The sequence below is a fragment of the Homo sapiens genome, chromosome 3 (genome assembly GCF_000001405.40).
Source record: "Homo sapiens chromosome 3, GRCh38.p14 Primary Assembly".
In the NCBI taxonomy this organism is placed as follows: Eukaryota; Metazoa; Chordata; class Mammalia; order Primates; family Hominidae; genus Homo; species Homo sapiens.
Window position 1 is genome coordinate 101,648,335 of NC_000003.12, and position 18,650 is coordinate 101,666,984.

The 18,650-nt window shown below is 39.4% G+C and overlaps 1 protein-coding gene and 1 pseudogene across 3 annotated transcripts in view; both read right to left on the bottom strand.

Annotated features, from left to right (window-relative positions):
- Positions 1 to 554: 554 nt before the first annotated feature.
- ZBTB11 (zinc finger and BTB domain containing 11) overlaps positions 555 to 18,650 on the bottom strand; it is a 28,244-nt gene continuing 10,148 nt past the window's right edge. For 2 of the 3 annotated variants that reach the window (NM_014415.4, XM_011512689.3), the window contains exons 4-11: positions 16,630 to 17,474; positions 16,204 to 16,380; positions 11,449 to 11,694; positions 7,770 to 7,914; positions 6,370 to 6,487; positions 4,446 to 4,604; positions 4,162 to 4,337; positions 555 to 3,349 (exon numbers count right to left, since the gene is read on the bottom strand). In NM_014415.4, coding sequence (NP_055230.2) covers positions 2,832 to 3,349; positions 4,162 to 4,337; positions 4,446 to 4,604; positions 6,370 to 6,487; positions 7,770 to 7,914; positions 11,449 to 11,694; positions 16,204 to 16,380; positions 16,630 to 17,474 — 2,384 coding nt within the window. In that variant the 3' untranslated portion in view covers positions 555 to 2,831. Of the gene's footprint in view, positions 3,350 to 4,161; positions 4,338 to 4,445; positions 4,605 to 6,369; positions 6,488 to 7,769; positions 7,915 to 11,448; positions 11,695 to 16,203; positions 16,381 to 16,629; positions 17,475 to 17,700; positions 18,471 to 18,650 lie in introns of those variants that run through there. The other variant, XM_011512690.3, reaches the window with a different exon arrangement.
- On the bottom strand, positions 13,731 to 13,830 carry RNY1P12 (RNY1 pseudogene 12; annotated as a pseudogene).

Genomic DNA, 18,650 nt, shown 5'->3' on the forward strand with positions numbered 1-18,650 from the left:
AGCAGTAACAAGTAGCCAAAAGTGCTTAAGGCGTCCATATTTGATCAGGAGACACCCATAGTTTTTGGAAGTCATCTCATGACAGCAATATGCTTTATGTTTCTAAAAAGGAATTGTTATAAATTAACAATGCCCTCTTGGTAACATTAAAACTGCACTGAATTTTTGGAACCTTCTTAACATTTGTTTCTACATGGAATTTATATAATTTACAAATTTACATTATTCAAAGCTGATGGTTGATGGCACAATATATAATCCTGTGACAAGATTATGAAAAGGAAGTTCCCAGATATCCTCACAGGACATGAGACAGGGGTGTGGCTCATTTGTTCACCCAAACCCCTTACAGGAGGGGAAGCATGCAGATGGGCAAGTGCAGGAGCTGGATTGAGTGCTTTTGGGCTCTGGCCCCACAGTAGCATCTGGTGGGGGGTGTCTGCAACTCCCAAAGCCCCAGTGGGAATGTTACAGGGCTCCTTTAGCTCTGCTGTCTACAGATAGCTTAAGTGTTAACTAGCTCAGTGCCCTCTTGGTACCTGCGTTCTTGTCCAGCGTCCAGGAAGAATCAGGTCACATGGACAAATTGAAGGATGGTAAATGCAGGGGATTTTATTGCTGGATAAAGGTGGCTCTCAGCAGGATGGATGGGGAGCTGGAAAGGGGATGGAGTGGGAAGATGATCTCCTCTCCAACCGTCCCCAGCTGAACTCCTCTGGACGTTTAGATGCTCCTCTCTTCTCTCCTCTGCCGCAACACTCTTCTGCTCATGGAGCCTGGGGTTTAGGGTTTATATGGATACAGGATAGGAGGGCGTGGTGGGCCAAAAGGCAACATTTGGGCATGAAAACAGGAATGCCTGTTCCCATTTAGGGCCATGGGTTTCCAGGCTTTTGCTGGGGAACTGCCCTCTTCTACCCATTATTTCCTTGCCTCTTGTCCATATCAATTATATGTAAGAGTAAGAAGTTTTAATATTGTGTTCCTCCAATCGTTATTTTTTAGTGTTTTATTTCCTTTCCCTTTAAAAATAAATTAACTTAATAACACATCAAGTAACAACTGATTTATGAACTGAAAATAGTAACAAGCTCAACTCCAAAGTTCATGCTTTTCAACAAGATTCAACATCTTTTATTTACATGTTTATGACATACATTAATGGTCATACACAATTTTTAAACTAAATCTAGTAACAACAGAGGATGGAACATAAAAGACACAATTCCAAATTTTAGTCAGGTTGAAATGTTTTTCCACTAACTGAAAGATAAGATAAATGAGCAGCCATTATAAAGTTATGGGCTGTATGTCAATTCACGTCTTAAAATTGAAAGTCAGCCACACAGCTGTTAAAACAATGGGAAATTTGCAAATGCAAATATATAATGCATGCACAGCTATCACATTTATTCTTTATCCTTAAAGCCATTTTTAAAGTAAACTGGGAGAGGCAACTTAGTAATATATGTACATCAAGGCACATTCTTTTCTTGTGCTTTAGGAATGATTTACATGTGATCTGCTTATATCTTAATTTTATACTTTATAACAGCTTCTAATACCTAAAAGCTTAATTTTTAACAATTATTCTTTGAGTGGTAGTTTCCCAGAGAGAAATGTGGCATCTCTCATGGTTATTTTCAAAGTCAGAAAATTGGATAGCTTGAGGAGGTGGGATTTAAAAATCAAACATATGAATTAATATAACTTAGTTTTCATAACCTTTAAAAATAATTTATCTTCAACAATTTAGTGGAACTGTAATCAATTTCTTCAAGTATGATACTATGAGGGCTGCACTGAATAATTTTCAACATTCTGAAATTACCTGACAATTACATGGTATCCACAGAGCTGCTGTGAATGTCTATATTGCTATCTGATTTCTCAACTGCAGTTTTTCAACCAAATTAAACAATTAAACATGATACAAAAGCTGAAAACATACCAAATCTAGTTTGTTTGTTCATTAACTTGTTCATTCTTTGCAAATAATGAGAATTTTTTTTTCCATTAATTGTCCTATGTTATCAAGGAGAATTTTCCTGTCAACAGTGTTTAATAACTGTGTTCTTTTCTCATGGTCAATTTACTTGCCTTGAAGAAATAGTATAGTAAGGTTTTAATAAGCATTTCATGCATTTTAATGGCATTTTAAAAATTAGCTATTCATTTATGGGTTCCTCATATAGATAAATATATTGTGCAAACTTGATTACAACATGTAACTCATAAGTGCTTTAAAATAGAATAAAGCATCCCTGACTTAAAAGGGGATAAAATAAATAGTAAGTCAAGAATCACAGATCTAAAGCATTTAAAAAACGTAATATACCTATGCATCCTATTGAAATGCTTTATATTAGAATTTTCTTTTTAATCCATAAACAGGGCAAATAAATCACAGAATCTCTATATTTTGAGAATAAAACAGAAGAAAAGCCAACTGGTGCAGCCTTTTAAATGCAAAATGTATAATAAAGTAATGTCAAAATGCAAATGAAACTGTACGGTTTTAAATTCAGTACAGTCATTTATAAACATTAATTCATAAAAGGTATATCATGATAAACCACTGCCATCAAATATTAGGTTGGTGCAAAAGCAATTGCACCAACCTAATAGATCTGTTTTCAATTTCTCTACACTAAACGGACTTTTCTATAGAACCCATTGGCCAGACAAAATGTTTGGAAACGTTACGTTACCAAACAGCCCAGAACTTTGATATGTAAACTCCAAGCAGACAGTCACACAGAATTGTAAACAAATGTTCTGTGAGTTCAGTGTACAAGAGATGTCACTTCTTTTTATCTTCATTAACATACTCATTCTCCTCCTGAAATATGTGCTACCTCTACTTTAACAGTTTGAATAGCTTCTGCAACTTCAGATAGCTTCTGTCCTTGCTGTTGTGCTAATACATAATTAACCACTTGCATAATACTTTGGTCAGAAAGTGTAGATACCGATGGATACTCTTCAGTAGCTGCAACAGCTTCCAGAGCTTCCATAGTTTCTCCTGTCACTACCACAGTCTCAAGTTCTTGAGGACCACTGCTTTCTTGTTCCTGCATGCCTGCTGTTAAGATGCTAACAGCATGTGCCACTTGAGTTCCTTGGTTATGAAACTGAAGGGTGTCTTTTTCCAGCATAATTTTGCAAGGCACATAGTCTCTGTGGAATTTAGTCATATGTTTACGGAGTGTTCGAGCATCTATGTAGGCTTCGCTACATACAGGACAGACATAGGGCCGTTCACCAGTATGTGTTCTGACATGGCGTTTTAGAGATCGGGCATCAGCCCAAGCTACTCCACATGTTAAGCACTCAAATGGCTTAACTCCTAAAAAAAAAAAAAAAAAAGCATGTGTAGTGAGGTGCAAGCACCAAAATATACTTAAACTGCCTACCAAACTTCCTTTTATTAAAAAGTACAGTAGCTCATAAGCCTTTCTATCTGGACTGTGGCAATCTTTTATTTAGGACTTTCCTTAGAATAAAGAAGATTCTTTGCCGGGCACGGTGGCTCACACCTGTAATCCCAGCACTTTGGGAGGCCAAGGCAGGTGGATCACCTGAGCAGTTTGAGACCAGCCTGACCAACATGGTGAAACCCCATCTCTACTAAAAATACAAAAATTAGCCCAGCGTGGTGGCGGGTGCCTGTAGTCCCAGCTACTTAGGAGGCTGAGGCATGACAATCACTTGAACCTGGGAGGCAGAGGTTGCAGTGAGCCAGGATCGCGTCACTGCACTCCAGCCTGGGTGACAGAGCAAGACTTTGTCTCAAAAAAAAAAAGAATAAACAAGATTCTGAACTATAAATCTCTCTAAAGATCTTCCTGCGGACAGATGTGATTGAGACAAATTTTAGTTTCTGTGCATAAACTCATTTATTCCTTCATTCCTTCAAAGCAGAGGCTTCAAATAGTTTAGTTCAGCATAACAATGTGGATACAGAATTAAGTTCACTAAAAAAGGAATCTATTTATATACACAATAATTAGGTACTCAGGTTCAGGATCACCTCTGTCATTTGAATAAAGATATGAAATTAACCTTTTACCAAGGAAGGTGAAAGAGCTGGTAAAGGGAGAATCACTACTGGACTGGCTTTTATTCTATAAGGATACATATAATATAAAGTATAGTTACCTTCATGGTTGTTCATGTGTCTCCTATACTCTCTTAGCTGAGTGAATTTTCTTCCACATTTTTCACACACCCGTTCCAGGTTTTGCTTTGCTCTTCCTTTCTTCCCATGGGTAGCTTTCTTTACATGCCTTCTGAACAAAGCTTTTTCATAAAATTCTTTGCCACATATATTACACCTAAAATAGGGGAAAAGACCCAATTATTTTGTCCAAAGAAGTAGCAGCCATAACAATCAGAGTACACACGTTATCAATTAAGTTCAGCTCCTTCTCAAATTTACTCACCTATAAGGCTCAGTGACAGAATGAGACTTCACATGGGAATACCAATCTTTCTTCCAACTATAGCACTTATCACAAAATTGGCACTGGAATGGCTTCACACCAAGATGTTTGTTCATGTGCTGGCGAAGATCTCTAGCTTCAAAGAAACTTTTTTCACATCTGCAATAAAGTTCAGTTACCCAATTGGATAATCTTATTCCTTTAAAACAAGTTTCCAAGAACTCAGTAACTATTTTTAGTTTTTTAGAACTCCAAAAGATGATCTCAACTTAAAAGAATTCCCTAATTTTCTAATCTTACATAAAGGCTACAGGGTTTTAGGTTCTTTTCATCTTAAGACTACTAGAAATGTTTTAGAAAGAATCGTGCATAGTTCCCAAAGGTTATTACAGAGGAAATTTACTATTCTCTCTCCTAAATTACCCCACTTTGAGATCCCTATTTCAACCCTCTCATTCTTAGTCCATGTGTTGAGGGTAGACTTTACCTTTGACCCTAGGGATAGAGCAAATGACTTGGGCCTAAATTAATCACAACAAAGCATTCCCTTGGCCATAGTGATTGACTCAGGGATGACTGACTTAACTTGATGTAAATGGAGTAACTCTCAGGGCTTTGATGGAACTACCAGAAAAGAAGTTTGACAATTTGGAATTTGAGAGGATATGAGACTGAAACCACTGCCATTGTCTTGTCCATATGGTGCCTCAGAGAAAACAAGTGCTAATGAATTTGAATCCAGTTTACATTAAACCACCCAGACTCCTAGACTTTATATTTAATTCAAGCCTGTTTGGGTTGGGTGTACTTTCATTAATAACTAAAAATGTATTGATAACAAACTATCTTTGTTTCAAAATAAGACTAATTAGAGTAACATCAACAAATACATCAAGTAGGAAGCTCCAAAAGCCCATCTCTCCACGAAAGTAGAGGACAAACTGGCAAACTGTTAGAATCAACCTTACCAGGAACTCTAAAAACTAATGAAAAGCTTATAGTGACTAGGCAAATGTTTAACAAAGAAAAAAAATTGTCGAATCCCTGTAAGAGAGCTTTCTGATGTACCCCTGAACCTAAAAGTTAAAAGAAAAGCAAAAGAGAGAGCTTCCTGGCTTTTGTTTCCTAAGAGACAGGGTCTTGCTATGCTGCCTGCCCAGACTAGTTTTGAACTCCTGGCCTTAAGCGATCCTCCCACCTGTCTCCAAAAGTGCTGGAATTACAGGCATGAGCCACTGCGCCCACACTACCACCCTAAAATGACTTTTTTTTTTTTTTGAGGCGGAGACTCACTCTGTCACCCAGGATGGAGTGCAGTGGTGTGATCTTGGCTCACTGCAACCTCCCACCTCCAGGGTTCAAGTGATTCTCCTGCCTCAGCCTCCCAAGTAGCTGGGACTACAGGTGTGAACCACCACAACCGGCTGATTTTGGTATTCTTAGTAGAGATGGGGTTTTGCCACGTTGGCCAGGCTGGTCTCGAACTTCTGACTTCAGATGATCTGCCCGCCTTGGCCTCCCAAACTGCTGGGATTACAGGCTTGAGCTGTTGTGCCTGTCCCGATTAATTTTACGTTATATGAATTTTACCTCGATTGTAACAGAGATTTTATTTTAGGAGGATCTGGAAAATGAAGAAGAGGGGGGGAAAGAAACTGGCTGGCAGTGAGACTCTTCTTTCCCACAGTCCCCACTTCCAGGTAGTACATTTGAAAATCTGAAATCACTTTAAATGAGTGATTTGTATGGTAAATGATTTACATCTCGAAGATGTTAAAAATAGTAACCCTTAAGCAAGAAAAAAAGGACATTAAAATCAAGAGTAAACTGAAGTTACAGTTTAATATTATCTTCAAATATTTTTTTGAAAACTGAGTAAAAACATAATTAAATTAACTGAATGCCTCACATATTGAATACTTACTGAGTACAATGATAGCCTCGAACCTCAGGCTTTGGTTGGTGTTTCTTGAAGTGCTTGCTGAGTCCAGAGCCCCTATGAAAAGACTTTCCACAAACTGAGCAAAGGTACTTGGACTCTCCTATTAGAAAAAATTAAAACCCTGTCACATATCCAGCAATCAGTCCTCTTTTAACAGAATTTTTTTTTTTTGAGTGGCATCTCACTCTGTTGCCCAGGTTGGATGGAGTGCAGTGGCGTGATCTCGGCTCATCGCAAACTCCACCTCCCAGGTTCAAGTGATTCTCCTGCCTCAGCTTCCCGAGTAGCTGGGACTATAGGCACGTGCCACCACACCCAGCTAATTTTTTGTATTTTTAGTAGAGACGGGTTTCACCATGTTAGCCAGGAGCGTCTCGATGTCATGACCTTGTGATCTACCCGCCTTGGCCTCTCAAAGTGCTGGGATTACAGGCATGAGCCACCACGCCTGGCCTTTAATAAACAGAATTCTTCATGTCATATTTCAGAAGTTACTTTACCAAGGGGACATGGAAGCTATAACATTTGGCAGACATCTAAGATTAACAATAACCCATGTCAAAATCCCCATTTCCTGTCAACAACCATAGTACTATCAGAGGGTATGACCCTAGTCATGTGATACGGTTGTATGATCTATGGATTGTAATAGTACTAGAGTTGAATACAAGTTGCAGCAGGTATCTACCCTTCATTGGCTATTCCCACATTTTTGCTTTAAAACATCTAAAAATAAGTATGTATGGACAAAAAAATATAAGCCAACTACTATGTTGACATTATGTCTCCCTACCATTTAACTTTTTAAAAGCATGATCATTTCTTTATGACTGGATTTAAATTATGCATGATTTTAACACTTAGTACACATTTTTCTACACTGAGGGAAACAATGAATATTCCATACACAAACATAGCTGTAAAACCAGATCTGAGAAAACGCTTTTTTTTTTTTTTGAGACGGATTCTTGCTCTGTCGCCCAGGCTGGAGTGCAGTGGCGCGATCTTGGCTCACAGCAACCTCCGCCTCCCGGGTTCACGCCATTCTCCTGCCTCAGCCTCCCGAGCAGCTAGGACTACAGGCGCCTGCCACCATGCCCGGCTAATGTTTTGTCTTTTTAGTAGAGAAACGGTTTCACCGTGTTAGCCAGGATGGTCTCAATCTCCTGACCTCATGATCTGCCTGCCTCGGCCTCCCAAAGTGCTGGGGATTACAGGCGTGAGCCACCGCGCCCAGCCTGCACTTTTAATTTAAAATACTGTCTCAATACAAAATTGAGCACACACGACTATCAGTTTATCAATATAATTTCTGGTATAATTAAAGCATAATCATTAATAGTTTATGAAATGTAACTATGTCAATATAAATTTCTCATTACCTGTGTGAATACTCATATGTTCTTGAAGACTCCGTTTGGTAACAAATGACTTAACACACAGTTCACACTGGAACTGCTTCTGTGATTGATGAAGACTCTGATGTAATTTTAGACCATGCTTATAGATAAAAGTCTTTCCACAGACCTAAGATAGAACAGGGGTGATTAAGTCAATAAAACAAAAAGGGAGATTGTTTCTGAACAATGAAGACAGAGAAAATGAATATATTATTTTAAATAAATATTTAAATTATTTAATTTACAATAAAACATAATGACAAAGTGAAAGTTGAAACCAACTTGAAAGTTGACCCCTCTTCTGATTCAGTATTCAACAAATATTGTTATCTTTCTTAAATCCATGTGATCACCAGAGATTCTCAAAATAGTAAAAATCAGACAAACCTCATGCTATCTTTGAGACTGGTAAACAGTATACCTTATATTAAGAGACATGGAAGTTTAATCAAGAACAATATACCATTTCCTGCTACACCAACTAGAACAGTGCTTTTCAAACTGTGATGAAGAACTAATTATTTTTTTTTCCTTTTCCACAATCCACTGGGAGAAATTTTTGTTAAACACAAAAATTTTTGTTAAAAATGACGTGACAATGCCAAATTGCTATGACAGTTTCTACATGCTTACTCTCTATTTCTGTACTTATTGTCCACAGACCACACATATTGAGTAGTGCCACATGGGAAGACCAGAGGCCCAACTAATACTTGGTATTTAAATTTATGGCCGGGTGTGGTGGTTCATGCTGGTAATCCCAGCACTTTGGGAGGCTGAGACGGGCGGATCATTTGAGGTCAGGAGTTCGTGACCAGCCTGGTCAACATGGTGAAACCCTGTTTCTACTTAAAAAAAAAAATACAAAAATTAGCCAGGTGTGGTGACAGGCATCTGTAATCCCAACTACTCGGGAGGCTGAGGTAGGAGAATCACTTGAACCCAGGAGGCAGAGGTTGCAGTGAGCCAAGATCGTGCTACTGCACTCCAGCCTCAGTGACAGAGCAAGAATCAGTCTCAAAAAAAAAAAAAAAACAAAAAACCCATAAATTTACAAATAAAGTGATCCTTAGGAAGGACTTGGCTTCAAAATAACTGGCGGAGCTGGGCAAAGTGACTCATGCCTGTAACCCCAACACTTTGGGAGGCTGAGGTGGTTGGATTGTCTGAGCTCAGGAGTTCGAGACTGGCCTGGGCAACATGGTGAAACCCTGTCTCTACTAAAATACAAAAAATTAGCCAGGCGTGGTGGCGTGTGCCTGTAGTTCCAGCTACTCGGGAGGCTGAGGCAGGAGAATTGCTTGAACCTGGGAGGTGGAGGTTGCAGTGAACTGAGATGGCGCCACTGCACTCCAGCCTGCGGAAACAGAGTGAGACCCTGCCTCCAAAAAAAAAAAACAAAAACCTGGCAGGGTGGGGGTGGAGGTGGGAGTAGGGTAGTAAATAACAGTATACATAAAACACATGTACCACGAGCTGGTAACTACTGAAGTTGAGTGAAGGGTACATGAGAGTTCAACCCATTCTCTTCTAAAATAATAAAAAGGAACAAAAAAGAGAAATATAAAAAACCTCACTGGAGGCCAGGCACAGTGGCTTATGCCTATAATCCCAGCACTTTGGGAGGCCCAGGTGGGAGAACAGCTTGAGACCAGGAGTTCAAGACCAGTCTGGGCAATATAGCAAGATCTATAAAAAGGCAGGGTCTCTATAAAAACTTAAAAAAAAAAAATTAGGTGGGTGTGGTGGCATACACCTGAAGTCCTAGCTACTCGGGTAGCTGATGCAGGAGGATTGCTTGAAACCAGGAGTTCGAGTTTACTGAGTTAAGATAATGCCACTGTATTCCGGCCTGGGTAATAAGAAAGACCCTGTCTTTAAAAAATCTGATATATGAAAAAGATACTTGCACATGCATGTTTACAACAGCACAATTCAGTTGCAAAAATATGAAACCAGCCCAAATGCCCATAAATCAATGAGCAGATAAAGAAAATGTGGTATAAATATACCATGGAATACCACTCAGTCATAAAAATGAACAAAATAATGGCATTTGCAGCAACCTGGATGGAACCGGAGACCACTACCTCTTTTAAAAATTAATTTTTTTTTTTTTTTTGAGACGGAGTCTCACTCTGTCGCCCAGGCTAGAGTGCAGTGGTGCGGTCTCGGCTCACTGCAACCTCTGCCTCCCGGGTTCAAGCAATTCTCCTGCCTCAGCCTCCCAAGTAGCTGGGATTACAGGTGTGTGCCACCATGCCTGGCTAATTTTTTGTATTTTTAGTAGAGATGGCCAGGATTGTTAGCCAGGATGGTCTCGATCTCCTGACCTTGTGATCCGCCTGCCTCGGCCTCCCAAAGTGCTGGGATTACAGGTGTGAGCCACACTGTACCCGGCCAATTAATTAATTTTTTTGAGATGGAATTTTGCTCTTGTTGTCCAGGCTGGAATGCAGTGGTGCCACCTCGGCTCACGGCAACCACCACCTCCCAGGTTCAAATGACCGGAGACCACTACTCTAAATGAAGTAACTTAGGAATGGAAAACCAAACATCGTATGTTCTCACTCATAATTGGGAGCTGAGCTATGAATGATACAACGGACTTTGGGGACTTGTGGGAAAGGGTGAGTTGGGGGTGAGGCATAAAAGACTACACCCTGGGTATAGTGTATACTGCTTAAGTAATGGGTACACCAAAATTTGGAAAACACTACTAAAAAACTTACCCATGTAAACAAACACCACCTGTTCCCCAAAAACTATTAAAATACAGAAAGAAAAAAAATCTCATTGGTTCCAAAACTGTTTTTTAATAAAAATACTAAGTCAGGCCTGGCATAGTGGCTCACGCCTATAATTCCAGTACTTTGGGAGCCTGACGTAGGAAGACTACTTGAGCCCAGGAGTTTGAGGCCAGCCTGGGCAACATAGTTAGGCCCCATCTCCACAAAATTTAAAAAAATTAGCCAGGCGTGGTGGTGCACATCTGTAGTCCCAGCTACTTGGGAGGCTAAGGTGGGAGGATGGTTTAATCCTCTGGGAGATGGAGGCTGCAGTGAGCTGTGATCATGCTACTACATTCCAGCCTGAGAGATAGAACAAGACCTTGTCTCAAAACAGACAAAAAAACCCAAACTGAGTCATACTCATATATAAGGCTACAGGTGCTACTAGAAATTTTTCACTGTTTCAAATAGCCCAAAGCTGGCTAATCACAGGATTCACTACCCTTGAGTCTTATTTTGGCATTTAGGTACTCTCAATCCTTAGCTCTAGAGAAGAACACAGCTTAGGCAGGACTTTTACGGACCACAGAGATTTGTTTAAGCCATGGGTTCCTTTCTAGTCCTGGTTGGTCCAGTTGAAGGTTAAGGAATGACTGGGATGATAAACTGGTTATTTTTCACCCTATACATCCTCTGGACCCTAGTAAGTTTTCACAAACATCTTAAATAGATTCAAATTACAACTTCAGAGAGCAAATTAAAAAACACCATAGGGAATCACCTTTGATCTAGGCAATAAAGAAGTCATAAATTTACCTGACATTTTACAAATGAGAGTGACTTGAGAATACATATCCCACCAGTCTCTTTGGCACACATAGTTAAGTTCTAATGTTCTTTAAATAGCAAAATAAACGTTATAGCTTTACCTGGCATGCATGTGGCTTTACACCTGTGTGCTTTAACATATGTATTCGGAGAGAATATAATTTAGGTAATGTTCTTCCACATATGGAACATATAAATTCCCGCTTGGTTCTGCCCTTCTCAGATGATGTTCCCGATGCTTCATTAGACGTGGAATTGGACGAGGATGAAGAGGGTGCATCTTTTCTGGTATGACGAATAAGATGTGCTCGCAAAGAGGCACTGTACTGAAACTGTTTTTTACACAACTAAAAGAAAAATAAAATTCTCTCTAAATGTATTTCCATTACAAAATGTTAACTGAAACTCAACTCATATTTGGACTTTGTTTTTGTTACAATTATATAAATCAATAAACACACTATGTAAAAAACAATAGGTACTAGATTGTAAAGATAAAAGGGATAAGACTCAATCCCTATTCTGCAGAGGCTAAAGTCTAACAACAGCACAATATTTATATCAACAAGGTTGGGCTTGAAATGGGTCTTTCAGGAATGGTAAAACAAAGATAGAATTCTATCATTAGTATGAGTACTAACAGTTATCAGGTGGAACAGGAGTAGGGGCTGGAAATAGAAAGGTAAGGCTGTGATTGATGGTCCTTGGATTTTATCTCATAGTTGAAGATTCAAGAAATCTTCAATTTTTAAAAAATCTTTGATTTTTAAAATCAAAGTTATATATGCTTACCCTCTGCAAAACCTATTTTTTAAAACAATAAGTACAACTGGTCTCCTGGCCAACCATCTCCACCATATTTTGCTTCTAGAGTTATCTCTGACTTTGTTTTTAAGTGCAGCTGTGCTTGGATGACTCTCTCTTGATGCTTCCCTTTGTAACTCTATGTAACACACATAATGGAAGTTGATTTGCATTTTTACTCCTCTACTCCCTACTTAGATATGTAAATGATTTCCATTACCCCTCTTTATCAATATAGTTATATCATATTCTTGAGTAGACCAATTTCAAGGCTTACATTTTTAGGATGTAAATATTATTACCACTGGGCCACATACAGTACACTGTAATTCTTTTTCCTTTCTTGCTTTTTGTTTTATTTCTCTTTGCACTTACTAATTTGCAATACCCTGCCCCCAGCTGTACTGGGAGGAGATTTAAAACCCATCCCCTTTTTGGAAATCTCTGTCAAATCATTATGTCCTGGGCTGGGTGTGGTGGCTTACGTCTGGAACCCCAGCATTTGGGAGCCCGAAGAGGGTGGATCACTTGAGTCCAGGAGTTTGAGACCAGCCTGGGCAACATGGTAAAACCCTGTCTCTACAAAAAAAATAGAAAAATTAGCCGAGCATTATGGTGCATGCCTGTGGTCCCAGCTATTTGGGAGGCTAAGACAGGAGGATCGTTTGAGCCTGGGACGTGGAGGTTGCAGTGAGCTGTGATAGTGCCACTGCACTCCAGCCTGGGATACAGAGCAAGACCCTGTCTCAAAAAAAAAAAAAAAAAAAAATCATTATGTCCTGGGCTAACTGTTCCCTAACTGCCTGATACATGGCTTCATCCTGGGATCCCCTTCACTATTGTCTTGATGAATCCCTTGGACTCTGTTGAACTGGATGCCATGTTTTGTATTTAACACGTCTTGCTCATTTTAGTGAAACATGTCTGTCAACAGCTTCCTGAGAAAATTTGGGAAGTAATAATTTTGAGACCTAGCATGTCTGAAAATATTCTTATTCTACCATCATAAATAATTAAAAGTTTGACTGATTGGCTGTAAGAATTCAAGCCAGAAATCATTTCTCTTTAGATTTTAAACACATGGTGTGGCTTTGTCTTCTAGTTTCTGTTGCTGTTGTTGAAAAACCTAAAGCCATTCTGATCCTTATCCTTTTTATGAGACTGACAATGTTATTGTTTGTCCTCTGGCAACTTATTTTATTTTTGTCCACTGATTCTGAAATTTTATAATGTACTTTAATACAGTTTTATTTTCATCCACTGTTCTGGGCATTCAGCGTACTCCTTTAACACAGAAACTTCTATCCTTAAGTTCTGAAATTTTTCTTTATATTGTTTTCCATGTTCTGTTTGAAAATAATATTTGTATACTGAGTATCTCAGACCAATTCTATTATTTTCTTTCACTCCCATTTCTAACTTGTCTTTTTGCTCTATTTTCTGGGAGATTTCATTAGTTATATTTTCCAACTTTTCTGAGATTTTTTATATGGTATTATATATTTTATTCCTAAAATACTCTAGTTATTTTAATGTGCCCTTTATATTAATAAAATTTTTTTAGACTTTTTTTTTTTACACTAGTCAAGTGCAGTAGTGAGAAGGGGGTAAAGAGTAGAACAAGGAGTTCGATCTGTAACTGTGAACAGTCAATTGAGATAACTAACTTCGGGCCAGCCAATATGACATTTAAAAATTTTTTTTTTTGTAGAGACAGGGTCTCGCTATATTGCCTGGTCTTGAACTCCTGGGCTCAAGTGATCCTCCCATCTCTGCCTCTCGAAGTGTTGGAGTGTTGGGATTACAGGTATAGGCCACCACGCTCAGCCTCAGTGTGCCCTTTTAAAAACATAGTACCGCTGGGAGCAGTGGCTCATGCCTATAATCCCAGCTCTCTGGGAGGCTGAGGCAGGCAGATCACCTGAGGTCAGGAGTTCGAGACCAGCCTGACCAACATGGAGAAACCCCATCTCTACTAAAAATACAAAATTAGCCGGGTATGGTGGCGCATGCCTGTAATCCCAGCTACTCGGGAGGCTGAGGCAGAACTGCTTCAACCCGGGAAGCAGAGATCATGCCACTGCACTCCAGCCTGCGCAACAAGAACACAACTCCGTCTCCAGAAAAACAAAAACAAACAAACAAACAAAAAAACCCCACAGTACATGGTTGTTTTGTAAACGTAATTTTTTCATTTATCTCTTATATAAATCATATGTTCTGAAGTTTTTTTCTTTTTAGTAGTTTTATTTTCTCGCTAGTCTTGGATTCCTCAAAATTGTCTTTTTTTTTTGGAGACAGGGTCTCACTTTGTCATGCAGGCTGGGGTGCAGTAGGGCAATCTTGGCTCCCTGTAGCCTTGACCTCCTGGGTTCAAGCCATCTTTCTGCCTTAGCCCCCAACAAATAGCTGGGACTACAGGTGTGTGCCACCATGCCCAGATAATTTTTGTATTTCTTTTTTTTTTTTTTTGAGACGGAGTCTCGCTCTGTTGCCCAGGCTGGAGTGCAGTGGCACAATCTCGGCTCACTGCAAGCTCCGCCTCCCGTGTTCAAGCCATTGTCCTGCCTCAGTCTCCCGAGTAGCTGGAACTACAGGTGCTCGCCACCATGCCTGGCTAATTTTTTGTACTTTTAGTACAGGCGGGTTTCACCATGTTAGTCAGGATAGTCTTGATCTCCTGACCTCGTGATCTGCCCGCCTCAGCCTCCCAAAGTGCTGGGATTACAGGTGTGAGCCACCGCACCCAGCCAATTTTTGTATTTTTGTAGAGACAGGGTTTCACCATGTTGCCCAGGCTGGTCTTGAAATCTTGAGCTCAAGCAATCTGCCTGCCTTGGCATCCCAAAATGTTACGATTATAGGTGTGAGCCACTGCGCCCAGCCAAAGTTGTTTTTCTTGAAATCTTTTGTCATGAGTCAATAATCCCTAATATCTGTTCATATTTCAGAATAAGATATTAAAAAATTCACTGGAATTTCCATGTAAATGGGGAGGGGATTGTTGTCAACCATGAGCTTTTGTCAGTAGCTGTCTTTTGTTACTGGGCTTCAGATTTTTCATCTCTGAGATGGTGGGGTCTAGATGGCTATATCCTGGGACTTGAGTAAAGAAAGACCTTGGGCCGGGTGTGGTAGCTCACACCTGGTATCCCATACCTTGGGGAGGCAGAGACAGGTGGATCATTTGAGCTCAGGAGTTTGAGACCAGCCTGGCCAACATGGTGAAACCCTGCATATAAAAATACAAAAAAATTAGCCAGGCATGGTGGCTCGTGCCTGTAGTCCCAGCTACTCAGGAGGCTGAGGCAGGAGAATCACCTGAACCTGGGAGATGGAGGATGCAGTGAGCCAAGATTGCGCCACTGCACTCTAGCCTGGGTGACAGAACAAGACTCCATCTCAAAAACAAAACAAAACAAAACAAAAACTTAATATTCAGTAAGCTTTTACTCTTCCCTGTTTTGAGTACAGTACACTCTTCCCTGTTTTGAGTACAGTACATTTAGCTTCACTGTACACAGTACTCCCCAGTGGAGTTATGGTTTTATCCTTTCCAGAGAGTAGAAGATGGATCTTTGGCTAAAGGGACAGGGGTAGTGATTTAATTGCTTCTGCTTTCAAGGTAGCTAGCACTACTAATTCCTGAGACATTTTGGTGGTTCTACAATTCAATTTGGGTTGATTCTTAGCTTTCCCCACTGAAAACCTGGAAGTGAACCCTTTCAACTCTGCTGAATAAGTTACTCCATCTATTTATTTGTATCCAGAATTTAGTTGTTTCAAGATTTCCTGTTCTGCCTTTTCATGAGTTACATTTTTAAAATGATCTTTTTACTATTGTCTTACTACGGTATCAAGAGGAAGCAGAGATAAGGCTAAGTCACTGAATATTTTTGGGAGGCAAGTAAATGACATGCACATTTAAATAAGAAGATGACTCTTATAGCCATATAAGACATAGAATACAAGCGAAAAGATAACCATGCAGTAAGTTGGATTCTATATATTATGAATTAGAGTTACCTTCAATTAGCTTTCCAAATACTTACTGGACATTTGTAATCTCTAGCTCTTTCATGTTTCAGTTTGTGCATTATAAGGGCGTATCGTCTCTGAAAAACCATTCCACATTCCCCACATTTATGAGATGCTTCTTCTGTGTTCTCTTTAGCATCTCTTTTTGGCTGTTTCATCTTTTTTCCTCTTTGAACTAACTTCTGAGCCACCTAGTAAGGGATAGAAATCACAATCTAAGTAAATCTACTCAATTTTAATTTTTAAAGTCATGTTGTAAATTTCTAACAAAAAGATTTCAAATTCACATTATCTTATTAATACTGGCATTTAAAACATTAAGTTGCTACCTTGTACCCATCTCACCTCCCAAATAATTTTCATTATAGCCATAAGTTCATCAATACAATGCTTTCAACCTAAAGCTAAAACTACAAAGGTCAACCCTTCTTACATCATACCTGTTGAACTGCTGACTTGGGAACGGCTTTCCGTTTCTGCAGCTTTTTCTCCATTCCCTTGTGTAGTCGAATATATGCCCCTTCATTAACAGAACGTTGTCGAAGCCTGCTTCTATAAGTATCATCATCAGGGCCAAAGTCTGTCTTTGCTGTTGATGCAACTAGATTTTCCTGATCTTTTAAAGGTTGGTCAACTTTCTGCCTATGTTTTGGAATGTCTTCGGCACAAATATCCTCAGCTGATATATCATTTCCCATACCACTATCCTCTGGCGAGCTACTAATTACATTCTCTTTTGAAAGTTTAGGGTGTATATTAGAAACTGTGTTATTTTCTCTGTTGTTTGAAGTTTCTAGTTCTGTCTGGTTGTTTTTTGTTATTAAATCAACAGACTCCATTTCAGGATGGGAATCAGCTATACATCCTACTGATGACAGGGCAGATTCAGCCTCTGAAGAAACCTGGGGCTCAGGCTGTCGTCCTACCTCTCCATTCTGCTCAGCTTCTGGCAATTCTCCATTTACCAGTAGTACAATTTCACAATCCCCAAGTTCAGTAGGTAAACTTGTTGTGGTTCCCTCACTGCTAGCAACAGGAGGTGCTGTACCTCCATTCTGTACTCGTAAGTCCTGGGTGGATGCAACTGTTTGTACTTCGCCCTTCTTATATACTGTTAGCTGCTTCTCTTCCATTAGCTTATGTACACTTTCACAAATCTCTAAGACTTCTGACATGAAAAGATGACGAGCTAAGATGGCTACATCAGCCATGCTACAGAAATCAAAACTTAGTACAGAAGTATAGGCAAATTCCAGTAAAGGAAGGAAGCTGGCCTTACAAAAACCTGTATGAATACAAAGAAGGTAAAGACAAAAAAGTCAATTATCAATGAAACAATACAGAATTATGACAATATAAAATATAATTCAAAGGCAAATATGACCATTTGTTCTGCAACTAATCATCCCTGGATTTGCATTTTGTTCTGGTTTCTTATTAAACCTTGACTAACTCATTTGTATGAGCTAAGTCTCAGTACCTAATATAGAAAATAGTATCAGACTTACTACCTCAAGAGTTGCTGTAAGGCAGTCATTTTCAAACTGTACTCCTTAGAACCCTGGGGATTCCTCAAATTCCCCTCAAGAAACAGCTGCTGGAGGATGGAGGGTTAAAAAAAAAGAGGAAGACAGGTGAGTGGCAGGGTTCAACCAACCTGTCCCCTAATCTCACTTCAGTAAATATAGCTGTACTTCCAAGTAATAGTGGTACATATAAAAATGTGATTGAACAAAGTATTCTATGACTAAAAGTAAAAAAACAATACCTAAGGGAGAGGTTAGCAACATTTTTCTGTTAAGAGTAAGATAATAAACATTGCAGGCCATGAGATGTCTGCTAAAACTGCTCAGCTTTGCCACTGTAGCTGGAAAGCAGATATACACCAATGGACGCAGCTGTGTTCCAATACAACCTTCTTTACAAAAGCGGAAGGAGGGAAAGAGTGGTCCTTGGGCTGTAGTTTGCCTATACCAGGTCTAAGGAATGAAATAATTACTATACACATGAGGTATTACATTCTTCTGCGGGAAAACAAGGTCAGTTTCTTTTCTAAAATTCTCAGTGATTCACTTTCAAAAGCCATTGTTAATTCTTAATATTCACATGAATCAAAAATCAGAAAAAAGATTACACAGTGATAATTCCATAACCAGAATGATTAAGAATTTGTATAGCTCTCCAGAATTTCATTATACAGCCAAGCCAATATTTTTATTTATTTATTTATTTTTGTTTATTTTTTGAGATGGAGTCTTGCTCTGTGGCCAGGCTAGAGTGCAGTGGTGAAATCTTGGCTCACTGCAACCTCCCAACTCCCAGGTTCAAGCAATTCTCCTGTCTCAGCCTCCGGAGTAGGTGCGACTACAGGCACACGCCACCATGCCCAGCTAATTTTTGTATTTTTAGTAGAGACGGGGTTTCACCATATTGGCCAGGATGGTCTCTATCTCTTGACCTT